The sequence below is a fragment of the Homo sapiens genome, chromosome 5, assembly GCF_000001405.40.
Source record: "Homo sapiens chromosome 5, GRCh38.p14 Primary Assembly".
Classification (NCBI taxonomy): Eukaryota; Metazoa; Chordata; class Mammalia; order Primates; family Hominidae; genus Homo; species Homo sapiens.
Window position 1 is genome coordinate 76802637 of NC_000005.10, and position 13511 is coordinate 76816147.

A 13511-nucleotide genomic window follows, 5' to 3' on the forward strand; every position below is an offset into this window, starting at 1 on the left:
GGGTCCCTGTAATCCCAGCTACTCGGGAGGCTGAGGCAGGAGAATCACTTGAACCAGGAGGTTGAGGTTGCTGTGAGCTGAGATCACGCCATTGCCCTCCAGCCTGGGCAACAGAGCAAGACTCCGTCTCAACAAAAAAAAATTGAATTGGGGCTGGGTGTGGTGGGTCATACCTGTAATCTCAGCACTTTAGAAGGCTAAGGCAGGAGGATTGCTTCAGTCCAGGAGTTTGAGACGAGCCTGGGCAACATAGTGAGACCCCCAATCTCTACGAAAGATTAAAAATTAGACTGGATGCAGTGGCTCACACCTGTAATCTCAGCACTTTGGGGGGCCAAGGCAGGAGGATAGCTTGAGCCTAGGAGTTTGAGACCAGCCTGGGTAACATAGTGAGACCCTGTCTCTATTTAAAAAAAATTTTTTTAATTAATAAAAAATAAAATAAAAATTAGGTGGGCATGGTGGCACATGTCTGTAGTCCCAGCTACTCCAGAGGCTGAAGTAGGAGTATTCCTTGAGTCCAAGAAATCAAGACTGCAATGAATCGTGATCATGCCACTGCACTCCACCCTGGGTGACAGAGTGAGACCCTGTCTTAAAAAAAAAAAAAAGAAAAAAGAAATGGGATGGGAGAGGGATCAAGAAGGAAGTCATTATTTCATAGTTTTAGGCAATAGACAATGGAAAACCAGTAGGGGAAGAAATTGACCCTGCAGAGGAGAGGAGTGAGGCTTGCTAGAGTGATGTCCTGAAGTCATTGAGAGTGGGTGGAAGTGGGTGCACATGTAGCATGAGGCGGGCTTAGATGGGTGCACTGGCAGTTCACTCATTGTCAAAACAGGGAGGGCAGGGTACATCGTGGACACCTCTGTTGGGGGAACATGTGGACATTCTCTTCTGACCGCTTCCCATTCCTTCCTGCTTTGTCTGTATGTTGTCATGCTGCTGTTTGCATCAACTTTAAGATGCATCTTTTTCATATTTTAACGTCAACATGGTGAAACTGGAATAAATCTTAAAATCAATGGAATGTCAGGCTGGGTGTGGTGGCTCACACCTGTAATCTGAGCACTTTGGGAGGCAGAGGTGGGTGAATCACGAAGTCAGGAGATCGAGACCATCCTGGCTAACATGGTGAAACCCCGTCTCTACTAAAAATACAAAAAATTAGCCAGGCGTGGTGGCGGGCGCCTGTAGTCCCAGCTACTTGGGAGACTGAGGCAGGAGAATGGTGTGAACCTGGGAGGCGGAGCTTGCAGTGAGCCGAGATCGCACCACTGCATTCCAGCCTGGGCGGCAGAGTGAGACTCCGTCTCAAAAACAAAAAACAAAACAAAACAAAACAAAACAAAAAAATCAATGGAATGTCTAAGTGTTGGTATTTATTTCTTCCAGGTGCTACATACAATGCAGAAGGCTTTTTGTCAAAGGTAACTTGGATATAGTGAACCGTGGAATGTTGTTACTTTGGCTCCAACTAGAGCCCTCTGTTGCAGCGGGCAAAGTGGGGTCCTGCAGATGCTGTTCACTTTGACAGTTGGGAAGAGAAGCCAACATCTTTATAATAGTAACAAACTTTGGGCTAGGGCTCTCTCTTTATTACACATACATTCACCCCAAGCCTCTGCAGACAGCTCCCAGGTGTCTGGGGAGGCCAGAGAGGGGAGGCCGGCCCTCTGCCCACCAGCTCTCCCAAGAGTGTGGGACACCCTCTGCCCACTCTCACAAGAGTGTGGGAGACCAAGGACAAGGCGATACTTGGCCCACACCTGAAACTGGACAGAAACTCCTGACTCAGAGGCCAAGCCTTCGGCCAAGTCAATAAGAGCTGGGCCCCTGTGTGGTGAACACATCCTGTGTGGTGACGACAAGGAGAAGTCCAAGGGTCTGAGAATGGGAGCAGTGTCACGGCATTGCTGGTGGGGTTACTTCTCCAGCATTGTCGACTGTTAGTAGGTGTGACTTTTTACTTCTTGGATGCGTGGGAATGACTTTTTACTTCCTGGAGGCGTGAGGATGGAGCTCAGACCCTTTTCTGTGGTCTGAATCTGGGAATGGTTCGGGAGGTTCCCTTTGTCCATTTGTTCATAAGACAAATAGTTGGGTACTTACCACACGCTGTGCTAAGCACTGGATACGCAATTATAAGCAAACCCAGACCGAGCCTCTGCTCTCAGAGCTTTTATCTAGTCATGGAGATGCATTAATGAAATAATAACAGTAAAAGGTTTCTTTTTTTTTTTTTTTGAGACGGATTGTCACTCTTATTGCCCAATCTGGAGTGCAATGGCCCGATCTTGGCTCACTGCAACCTCCGCCTCCCGGGTTCAAGCGATCCTCCTGCCTCAGCCTCCCAAGTAGCTGGGACTACAGGCATGTGCCACCACGACCGGCTAATTTTGTATTCTTAGTAGAGATGGGGTTTCTCCATGTTGGTCAGGCTGGTCTCGAACTCCAGACCTCAGCTAATCTGCCCACCTCGGCCTCCCAAAGGGCTGGGATTACAGGCGTGAGCCACCACACCTGGCCACAATAATAGGTTTTAAAAACCTACTTTAATGAAACTGTGTGCCAGACCCTGTTTTAGGCACCCTACAAATATTAACTCCTGTTATTAGTATAATAATCTAAGAACTGCTAGATGCAGTGGCTCACTCCTGTAATCCCAGCACTTTGGGAGGCTGAGGCGGGTGGATTACCTGAGGTCAGGAGTTCAAGACCAGCCTGGGCAACATGGTGAAACCCCATCTCTACTAAAAATACAAAAATTAGCTGGGCGCGGTGGCATGTGCCTGTAATCCCAGTTACTTGGGAGGCTGAGGCAGGAGAATCGCTTGAGCCTGGGAGGTGGAGGTTGCAGTTAACCAAGATTATGCCATTGCACTCCAGCCTGGGTGACAGAGCAAGACTCTGTCTCAAAATAAAGAAAAAAAAAAAAAAACCTAAGAACTAGGTATGATTAATATCAACCCTGATTTACAGATAAAAAAAACTGAGGCACAGAGAGGCAAATTTGCCCAAGGTCACACAGCTCATAAACAATGGAGTTGAGATTCCAACCCAAGCAGTTTTGCCCAGGAGTCCCAGCTCTTAGCCAGTGTGGCTAAGTTGCCTTTGTTATTCTGTCCAACTCAGTTATTCTGATATAAAACTCCCTTTGAGGATGGAAATGACTGTCAATGGAAAAAAAAAACAACAAAAGCTTTTAAAGATTTAAAGTTAGTTTTATTCAGAAGTCTTACTGAGGGCTATAGACCAAGGCCTGTAGCCCAGGAGCAGTTCTATGAGACTGCTGGGGCACAGTATCTCAGCCCATGGCCCATATACAGGCGGTGGGGGTTCAATATGTTCAAAGTCACATGAGACTTGCTCAGAAGTTGCATTCAAGCAGAATCACATTGACGTTTCGGTGTAAGAGCACAACTGGTTATAGATTACAGAGGCATCATCACTGACCTTGTCAGAGGTTATCTTATGTGTAGGCAAAGACAAACACTGCGGTCATTTATCTTTTAAGGAATATAGTGACTCAGGCAAGAGATGTCCTGTTTTGTCTTCTAAGCATCTTTCCAGAGAGCTGTGTGTAGACACAGAGTCAGGAGCTTCGAGAAATTAAGCAAGCAGAAATGAGCAAACATGACTTCTTAACATTTGCTACTTTGTCTCATATGACTCACCAAGGAAGAAGGGATTTTAGCATCTGACAAGCCAGCTGTAGCTTTGAAGACTGTTTAGGGAGCCTGCTGGGCACTGAGTAATAAGCAATTTGCATCGCACTTCTGTAGTATCTTGCATCTTGGTTTCTCTTCCCATCCTCCTCTTCATAGCTCCCTCCTCTTTTGGCTCATCCACCGCTAACTTAGTCTTTGATGCTTTTACTTTGACCCCCAGGACTTTCCTGTTGGAGTGAGCAGGTCGGTTTTCTTTGAGCTGTGCAGCAGCAGTCTCCTTGGCTAAACTCAATCCAGCACAGGACCACTCCCAAGAAAGGAGCTGCTCAATATGGGCAGAGAGGTGGGGAGTGATGGGGGGTAGAGACTGAAAATCAGATGTTAAGAATAGAAGCAGGCCGGGTGCGGTGGCTCAAGCCTGTAATCCCAGCACTTTGGGAGGCCGAGGCGGGCGGATCACGAGGTCGGGAGATCGAGATCATCCTGGCTAACACGGCGAAACCCCGTCTCTACTAAAAATACAAAAAAATTAGCCGGGCGTGGTGGCGGGCGCCTGTAGTCCCAGCTACTCTGGAGGCTGAGGCAGGAGAATGGCGTGAACCCGGGAGGCGGAGCTTGCAGTGAGCCGAGATCGCACCACTGCACTTCAGCCTGGGCGATAGAGCAAGGCTCTGTCTCAAAAAAAAAAAAAAAAAAAAAAAAAAAAAAAAAAAAAAAAAGGAAAAGAAAAGAATAGAAGCATTAGCTGGGTGTTGTGGTGCATACCTCAAGGTTGAGGTGGGGGATTCACTTGAGTCCAGGATTTTGAGGCTGCAGTGGACTATAACATGCCACTATACTCTATTAAAAATAAAAAATAACAATTAAAAAAAAAAAGAATAGGAGTAGCTCTAGACCAAGGTTGTGTATCCTGGCCAATGAAATAGAGTCTTTACACAACCTGTCTTTTCCACAGGCTAAGTTCAGTGGGCCCCGAGCTATTCAAAACTCAACACTTTTGCAATAAAAATAAAAGTTCCTTTAGTACCTTCCACGTTACCAAGCCCATTTAGAGTTCTGATCTCCTTTGGCTTCAACAACAACCCTGGGAGGTATTCCTGGGAGAACACAGAGGTCTCCCAGTCTTCAAAGCTACACACTTCACTTGTCAGACACTAAAATTCCTCACTCTTTGGTGAGTCATTTGCATTTCTAAAGTGAGTTTCCTTTCAGAATAGCTGGGCTGAAATGTGGTTGTAAGTGACTGGGCATTAGAGCTGGCAGAACACAACAGAGACTGTATGCACTTTCAACTCCAGACTCTTCCACGACCTCTTTCTACCTCTCAGACGAGGTAGTGCCTGGCTGCAATTTTTCAAGAACCAAAACTTGAATGACTGCCATCATTAGGCTCTAAAGTCAAAAATTGGCCTGAATTCTCCCCCCAAAGAAATAAGCACCTAATATTTTTCTTCGTATGCTGAAAATTCAGGGAAGCTCTGATAACACAACCATTTAGCGTTACATGCAAGAAATGCTTCCACTTAAGGTCAAGAGTTTGGCATCTGCTTCCTGAAGCCCCTTCTGAATCATGTTATTTCTAACAAGAAGATATGAATTGTCTATATTTCATAAGATATAGTGAAGATTAAGTGAGAGTTGTTAGTCCATTCATTGTGTTCCCCATACCTGTTAAAATTTTTTCCTTCCAAAATTATTATGCTCTCTGTATTAGACCAATTATAGAAGCAGCTGAGGACTTGAGAAGTATTGTAAATAGAACAAATTTTGGCTTTAGCTGGGAAAGGAACAGAGATTCAGTCCCTTCTTATTGAGTCCAGAATTGGTGGTGGATCTGGATTCAGGAAATCAGGCAGATGTTGGAGCCATTTCACTCCCTGCCCCCACCCCTGGCCCAGCATACACAGCAAAGCTCCAAAGACCCAGGGTGCGTTCTGCAGGCAGTTCCTTCATATGCTAATGAACAGTTACAAAAGCTGAACAGCAGGACCAAACTGGTTTCTGTGGGCCCAAGCAGCTGGGAATTACTGCCCTACCCTTCTTCCCAGAGATTTCACAGACCCTCCTTCTTCCACATTCCCACCAGCTGTCCTTAAATTGCCAGGAACCCACCTGTTTTAACTCATCTCTCTCGGCCTGTGTGGCCCTCAGTTATCTTTCTTATCATATCCCGACACTCTGAGTTCTACAAGCCCCTCTGCCTCTGCTTCCTCTCCTTACCACCCCTTCTCACAGGCCTTTGTCTTTCCTTCAGGTGCCCCAGGGATTCCAGGCAAACAACAGCGTCTGACCAGCCCCATCAGTACTAAGCACTCTTGAGGGGGTCCCAGTGGCAGAGCCCATAGCCCGTTAGCCTTTTGAATATTCACAATGTTCTTAGAAGGCAGGTAACATATCCCCATTTTATAAGAGAAAACAGGGCCAGGCGCGGTGGTTCATGGCTGTAATCCTAGCGCTTTGGGAGGCCGAGGCAGGTGGATTGCCTGAGCTCAGGAGTTCGAGACCAGCCTGGGCAATATGGTGAAACCCCATCTCTACTAAAAAAAAGAAAAAAAAATTATCCGGGCGTCGTGGTGCATGCCTGTAATCCTGGCTACTAAGGAGGCTGAGGCAGGAGAATCGCTTGAACCCAGGAGGCAGAGGTTGCAGTGAGCCGAGATCACGCCATTGCACTCCAGCGTGGGTGACAGAGTGAGACTCTGTCTCAAAAACAAAAAACAAAAAAAAAAGAAAAAACAGGCACCCAAAGAAATGAAGTAACTTAATCAGGATCATAAGTGACAAGAGCCAGCATTCAATCCAGTCGGACGCTGCCCAAGCCCTTCCTCCTAATCACAACAACTACCTTCTAGAGGCAGGAGACATTTCTAATTGGTGGAGGGATGAGGCAACTCTGAAGTCTGAAGGAAAACAGCATCCGTGAGAGAACCAAGATGCAGAACCAGTTGGTGGAATCCACAGATCTGGCCCTGCTGGGTCACAGGTTCTCACCCTAGTTTCCCTCCCTGCCTAAATCTTGCTGAGGCTTGTCCTTGATGCTAACTACATGTAGCTTTCACACGCAGGATTGAGAGCATGCACTGGTCTCAATTCCTCCTTTGACATCCATGCCTGGTTTTCGTAGGTGCATCTGTCTCACGTACCTGGAGTCATTGTGTTAAACTCTAAGATCCTGGGCTTTTAGGAAGTGGCTCTGATCTTTGTCTCTCTCACCCTGATGTTTTATGAGGATGATGGCCTAACAGGGTCCTGCCAGGTTGCAGAGGGAAGACCTTTAAACAAGATGACTTGTTTAAATACTATATGGTTGGCCGGGCGCAGTGGCTCACGCCTGTAATCCCAGCACTTTGGGAGGGCGGGTGGATCACTTGAGGTCAGGAGTTCAAGACCAGCCTGGCCAACATGGTGAAACTCTGTCTCTACTAAAAATACAAAGCCCCTGTGGTCCCAGCTAGTTGGGAGGCTGAGGCACAAGAATTGCTTGAACCTGGGAGGTGGAGGTTGCAGTGAGCTGAGATCACACCACTGTACTCCAGCCTGAGCAACAGAGCAAGACCCTGTCTCAAAAAAAATAAAAAATAAAAAAAACAATATGGTATATTTAAGATTGGCTATTATAATATGCTCTTCACTGTGGTTAGTAACAGCAATAATAATAATCACCTGCATTTGTGTCATGCTTTTATGGTTTCCAAAGAACTTTTATGCACATTTTCTTTTTTTAATTTTCATTATATTTTTAATTCTGTAATAGATACTAAGTCTCAGACTATTTCTTCTTCATTTAATTTAGCAATAACTTAATCAGACTAGGAAGAAATATTTCAAGGGATAGGTGGATTTGCTTAATAAAAAATTATGTTTATTTTAAAAGCTCTCAGTGATTATTATCAAACCGTACAGTAGTCCGAGACTGCAGAAACAAATGTATGCGTCACAATATGTTTATCTCTGTGTTACCAAAACAATAAAAACATGAAATAATCTGGATATTTTACAAGAGTAAATTAAAATCTATTGAGAAGATGAAATATTCTGCTGCAATTGAAAATGGTGCTATGGAAGAATAAGCATTTGGGGAAATGTTCACTTTGTTGTTGAGTGGGGAAAACCAAGTCACAAAAAAGGAATGCAAATATCAATCTGATTTTTTATTATTTGTTTATGTTGGGATAAAGTCTCGCTCTGTTGCCCAGGCTGGAGTAAAGTGGTGTGATCACAGCTCACTACAGCCTTGAGCTCCTGGGCTCAAGTGATCTTCCCACCTCAGCCTCTTGAGTAGCTGGGATTACAGGCGCGTGCCGCCACTCCGGCTAAGTTTTGTATTTTTAGTAGAGACAAGGTTTCATCGTGTTGGTCAGGCTGGCCTTGAACTCCTAACCTGGTGATACGCCAGCCTCGGCCTCCCAAAGTGCTAGGATTACAGGCGTGAGCCACCACGCCCGGCCCATTTATTCTTAACTCTACCTGCATGTCACTGAGGTTGGTGGTTGGAAGGATGACCTTTCTATGACAAGAAAAGGAATCAATCAGGTAGAAGTTGTGTTGCAGGACTTATCTTTAGTTCAGCTAAAGACAGGTTCTTTGTTCCATGGCCATGAAAATCCGGGCTCGCAGACAATTTGAATAGTCAGTAAGATGGGGTTTTATTGGGTGAAAAGGAAGAAAAGGGGGAAACAGGGATTCTCGCAAGGCCAGAGTCCCTGCTACAGAGCTTCCCGCCTAGCCCTTTGAATCCCAGTTTCCACACAGGAAGAGGAAGGGCCATGCTCCTCCCTGCTGCAAACTTCTCGAAGCTTCATCTCATTGGGCAGGCTGGTTGGAGTTTCTTCCACCTGGCTGTCTCAGTTGTAGGTGGAAGAAATAGAAAGGGGAAAATGGGGAGAGTAGGAGGGTGCAATCCTACCACTACAGCTACTTATGTGGGCATCTCAGCCCCTGCAGATCAACCTTTCCCATCTCTTTAATTAGCATGTGGCATAATGACTACTCTCCACACCTCAGCCCATCATGTACTTATTTCATTAAGTAATCGCTAGCACATATGCTGTCGCCTGACTCTTCATGAGGGGCGAGGTGCCAGTTCTGCACCCTAGAGCAGTATCATTTTTCAGAAGGTGAGATTGCTATTGTGGCTGCATTTCCCATGATGTCATGACTAACTCTCTGTCTACACATGTCCCAGTGACACATCACCCAGCCACAATTCCAGCCCCAGTTTGAAAGTCTTCATAACTCTTTTCCTTAAAAATATTTCTCGCCTCTCCCTCTCCCCCTCCCCCTCCCCCTCTCCCTCTCCCCACGGTCTCCCTCTCCCTCTCTTTCCAGGGTCTCCCTCTGATGCCCAGCCGAAGCTGGACTGTACTGCTGCCATCTCGGCTCACTGCAACCTCCCCGCCTGATTCTCCTGCCTCAGCCTGCAGAGTGCCTGCCATTGCAGGCACGCGCCGCCACGCCTGACTGGTTTTCGTATTTTTTTGGTGGAGATGGGGTTTCGCTGTGTTGGCCGGGCTAGTCTCCAGCTCCTAACCGCGAGTGATCCGCCAGCCTCGGCCTCCGGAGGTGCCGGGATTGCAGACGGTGTCTGGTTCAATCAGTGCTCAATGGTGCCCAGGCTGGAATGCAGTGGCGTGATCTCGGCTCGCTACAACCTCCACCTCCCAGCCACCTGCCTTGGCCTCCCAAAGTGCCGAGAGTGCAGCCTCTGCCCGGCCGCCACCCCGTCTGGGAAGTGAGGAGCGTCTCTGCCTGGCCGCCTATCGTCTGGGACGTGAGGAGCCCCTCTGCGTGGCTGCCCAGTCTGGAAAGTGAGGAGCGTCTCTGCCCGGTCGCCATCCCATCTAGGAAGTGAGGAGCGCCTCTTCCCGGCCGCCATCCCATCTAGGAAGTGAGGAGCATCTCTGCCTGGCCGCCCTTCTTCTGAGATGTGGGGAGCGCCTTTGCCCCACCGCCCTGTCTGGGATGTGAGGAGCGCCTCTGCCAGGCCGCGACCCCGTCTGGGAGGTGAGGAGCGTCTCTGCCCAGCCGCCCCGTCTGAGAAGGGAGGAGACCCTCCGCCCGGCAACCGCCCCGTCTCAGAAGTGAGGAGCCCTTCCACCCGGCAGTCACCCCGTCTGGGACGTGAGGAGCGTCTCCGCCAGGCAGCCACCCCGTCCGGGAGGGAGGTGGGGGTCAGCCCCCACCAGGCCAGCCGCCCCGTCCGGGAGGGAGGTGGGGGGGGATCAGCCCCCTGCCCGGCCAGCCGCCCCGTCCGGGAGGAAGGTGGGGGGGCCAGCCCCCCGCCCGGCTAGCCGCCCCGTCTGGGAGGTGAGGGGCGCCTCTGCTCAGCCGCCCCTACTGGGAAGTGAGGAACCCCTCTACCCGGCCAGCCGCTCCGTCCGGGAGGGAGGTGGGGGGGTCAGACCGGCCAGCCGCCCCGTCCGGGAGGGAGGTGGGGGGGTCAGCCCCCCGCCCGGCCAGCCGCCTCGTCCGGGAGGTGAGGGGCGCCTCTGCCCGGCCACCCCTACTGGGAAGTGAGGAGCCCCTCTGCCCGGCCAGCCGCCCCGTCCGGGAGGGAGGTGGGGGGGTCAGCCCCCCGCCTGGCCAGCCGCCACGTCCGGGAGGGAGTTAGGGGGGTCAGCCCCCTGCCCAGCCAGCCCCCTCGTCCCGGGGGGTGAGGGGCGCCTCTGCCGGGCCGCCCCTACTGGGAAGTGAGGAGCCCCTCTGCCCGGCCAGCCGCCCCGTCCGGGAGGGAGGTGGGGGGGGTCAGCCCCCCGCCCGGCCAGCTGCCTCGTCCGGGAGGTGAGGGGCGCCTCTGCCCGGCCGCCCCTACTGGGAAGTGAGGAGCCCCTCTGCCCGGCCACCACCCCGTCTGGGAGGTGTACCCAACAGCTCATTGAGAACCGGCCATGATGACAATGGCGGTTTTGTGGAATAGAAAGGGGGGAAATGTGGGGAAAAGATTGAGAAATCGGATGGTTGCCGTGTCTGTGTGGAAAGAAGTAGACATGGGAGACTTTTCATTTTGTTCTGTACTAAGAAAAATTCTTCTGCCTTGGGATCCTGTTGATCTGTGACCTTACCTCCAACCCTGTGCTCTCTGAAACAGGTGCTGTGTCCACTCAGGGTTAAATGGATTAAGGGTGGTGCAAGATGTGCTTTGTTAAACAGATGCTTGAAGGCAGCATGCTCGTTAAGAGTCATCACCACTCCCTAATCTCAAGTACCCGGGGACACAAACACTGAGGAAGGCCGCAGGGTCCTCTGCCTAGGAAATCCAGAGACCTTTGTTCACTTGTTTATCTGCTGACCTTCCCTCCACTATTGTCCTATGACCCTGCCAAATCCCCCTCTGTGAGAAACACCCAAGAATGATCAATAAAAAAAAATAATAATAATTAAAAAAAATATTTCTCACCTGGGCGTGGTGGCTCACGCCTGTAATCCTAGTACTTTGGGAGGCTGAGGTAGGCAGATCATGAGGTCAGGAGTTCGAGACCAGACTGGCCAACATGGTGAAACGCCGTCTCTTCCAAAAATACAAAAATTAGCAGGGCGTGGTGGCACACGCCTGTAGTCCCAGCTATTCAGGCAGACAGCTGAGGCAATAGAATAGCTTGAACCGGGAGGTGGAGGTTGCAGTGAGCCGAGATTGTGCCACTGCACTCCAGCCCGGGTGACAGAGCGAGACTCTGTCTCAAAAAATAAAAATAATAAATAAATAAAATTCCCATTTTTTGATCAAATGAAAAAAAAAATCTACAAAGTAGAAAACCCCAAAAACCATAACACTAGATAATAGTTGACCACTAATGCCTGAAATGATTATCATGAGCGATTATTTCTTTGGGTCTAGAAGGCCTTTGTGTAGATGAGCGACCACTATGACCAATTCACTCCTTGCCTACCATCCAGACACCTTAGCCTCACTGCCAACAAGCTAAGAGATGCTGGCTGAGTAAGGGCCTACTCTGGCTTATAAGGACCCCTGCAGCTCCAGTGATTTATAATTCTAAGTAAACTAACACTTTAAAGAGATGAGTCAAGAGCTGCTTGATGGAAAATCACTCCAGGCAAAGGATACTGAGTGCAAAGGAATGACGGGGGCATACATGGCTGGAGCAGGATGATGATATGAATCACAGGCGATAACATCAAGGAGGTGGTGTGTGTGTGTGGATGGGGAAGAGGGGACAGGATGTGTAAACCTTTGATAGATTTTGGTTTTCACTCAGAGGGAAGTGGAAAGCACTTTAGTATTTTTGTTTTCTTTTCCTTTTTTTGTTCTTGGAGCAAAAAATGGAGTGTTGCTCTTGTTGCCCAGGCTGGAGTGCAATGGTGCCATCTCGGCTCACCACAACCTCCGCCTCCCAGGTTCAAGTGATTGAACAGCCTCCCGAGTAGCTGGGATTCCAGGTGCCCGACACCACACATGGCTAAATTCTTTTGTATTTTTAGTAGAGACAGGGTTTGGCCATGTTGGCCAGGCTGGTCTCAAACTCCTGATCTCAGGTGATCTGCCTGCCTCGGCCTCCCAAAGTGCTAGGATTACAGGCATGAGCCACTGTACCCAGCCTAATTTTCATTTTATAATTTTTTTTTTTTTTGAGACAGAGTCTTGCTCTGTTGCCCAGGCTGGAGTGCAGTGGCACAATCTCTGGTCACTGCAACCTCCGCCTCCAGGACTCAAGCGATTGTCCTGCCTCAGCCTCCGGAGTAGCTGGGATTATAAGCCTGTGCCACCACGTCTGGCTAATTTTTAGTAGAGATGGGGTTTCACCATGTTGGCCAGGCTGGTCTCGAACTCCTGACCTCAAGTGATCTGCCTGCCTTGGCTTCCCAAAGTGCTGGGATTACAGGTGTGAGCCAGTGTGCCTGGCCAAATAATTTTAATTTTTTAGAGACAGGGTCTCACTTGGTTGCTCAGGCTAGAGTGCAGTGGCACAATCACAGCTCACTGCAGCCTGGAGCTCCTGGGCTTAAGTGATCCCTCTGCCCAGCCACCTGCATAGCTGGGACTATAGGTGCATACAACCACCCCTGGGCAATTTTTTTGTAGAAATAGGGTCTCAATATATTGCCCAGGCTGATCTCAAACTCCTAGGCTCAACCAATCCTTCTGCCTTGGCCTCCCAAATTTCTGGGATTATAAGCATGAGCCACTGCACCTAGCCTGACTCCAAGACTTGATTTGAGCAATTGGAAGGATGGAGTTGTAATTTAAGGAGAGGGGGAAGACTGTGAAAAGGGCAGTGGAGGTGTAATGAATCAGGAAGTTAGTTTTGGACTTATGCTTGATATGCCTGTAGAAACATCCAAGGGGGGATTTTGAATAGCTAGATGAATATGCTATATGTCTGGATTGGGGAAATCAGGAGTAGAAATAGAAATTTGGGAGCTGTCAACATATAGATCGTATTTAAAACCATGGGAGTGAATGAGGTCACCAAAGGAATGAGTGTATACTTTGAGAAGAAAAGAAGTCTGCTGGGCGCAGTGGCTCATGCCTGTAATCCCAACAGTTTGGGAATCCAAGGTGGGAGGATTGCTTGAGCCCAGGTGTTCAAGACCAGCCTGGGCAACATAGTGAGAACCTGTCTCTACAAGAAATAAAAAAGTATTAGCCAGGCCTGGTGGTGTGTGCCTGTAGTCCCAGCTACTCAGGGCCTGAGGTGAGAGGATTGCTTAAGCCTGGGAGGTTGAGGCTGCAGTGAGCCATGATCGTGCCACTGCACTCCAGCCTGGGCAGCAGAGTAAAATCCTGTCTCAAAAAAAAAAAAAAGAAAAGAAGTCCAAAGACTAAGCTAGGGGCACTCACTCCAGAATATAGTGGTCAGGAGGGTAGGTGGGAACTAGCAAAGA

The 13511-nt window shown here is 49.0% G+C and overlaps 5 annotated features.

Moving 5' to 3' along the window:
- Nucleotides 1099-2298: an enhancer, noted in NCBI's record as "P300/CBP strongly-dependent group 1 enhancer chr5:76099560-76100759 (GRCh37/hg19 assembly coordinates)". NCBI's record gives its function as "activates an origin of replication core promoter dependent on BRD2, BRD4, P300/CBP, MED14 and CDK7 cofactors, with strong dependence on P300/CBP, by STARR-seq in HCT116 cells {active_cell/tissue: HCT116}" and the evidence as "EXISTENCE:reporter gene assay evidence [ECO:0000049][PMID:35650434]".
- Nucleotides 2902-3485: an enhancer, noted in NCBI's record as "H3K27ac-H3K4me1 hESC enhancer chr5:76101363-76101946 (GRCh37/hg19 assembly coordinates)". NCBI's record gives its function as "activates a minimal SCP1, AML or CMV promoter by ChIP-STARR-seq in naive H9 embryonic stem cells {active_cell/tissue: H9 hESC(naive)}" and the evidence as "EXISTENCE:reporter gene assay evidence [ECO:0000049][PMID:30033119]".
- Nucleotides 3486-4067: an enhancer, noted in NCBI's record as "H3K27ac-H3K4me1 hESC enhancer chr5:76101947-76102528 (GRCh37/hg19 assembly coordinates)". NCBI's record gives its function as "activates a minimal SCP1, AML or CMV promoter by ChIP-STARR-seq in naive H9 embryonic stem cells {active_cell/tissue: H9 hESC(naive)}" and the evidence as "EXISTENCE:reporter gene assay evidence [ECO:0000049][PMID:30033119]".
- Nucleotides 5232-5815: an enhancer, noted in NCBI's record as "OCT4-NANOG-H3K27ac-H3K4me1 hESC enhancer chr5:76103693-76104276 (GRCh37/hg19 assembly coordinates)". NCBI's record gives its function as "activates a minimal SCP1, AML or CMV promoter by ChIP-STARR-seq in naive and primed H9 embryonic stem cells {active_cell/tissue: H9 hESC(naive and primed)}" and the evidence as "EXISTENCE:reporter gene assay evidence [ECO:0000049][PMID:30033119]".
- Nucleotides 11923-12577: an enhancer, noted in NCBI's record as "H3K27ac-H3K4me1 hESC enhancer chr5:76110384-76111038 (GRCh37/hg19 assembly coordinates)". NCBI's record gives its function as "activates a minimal SCP1, AML or CMV promoter by ChIP-STARR-seq in primed H9 embryonic stem cells {active_cell/tissue: H9 hESC(primed)}" and the evidence as "EXISTENCE:reporter gene assay evidence [ECO:0000049][PMID:30033119]".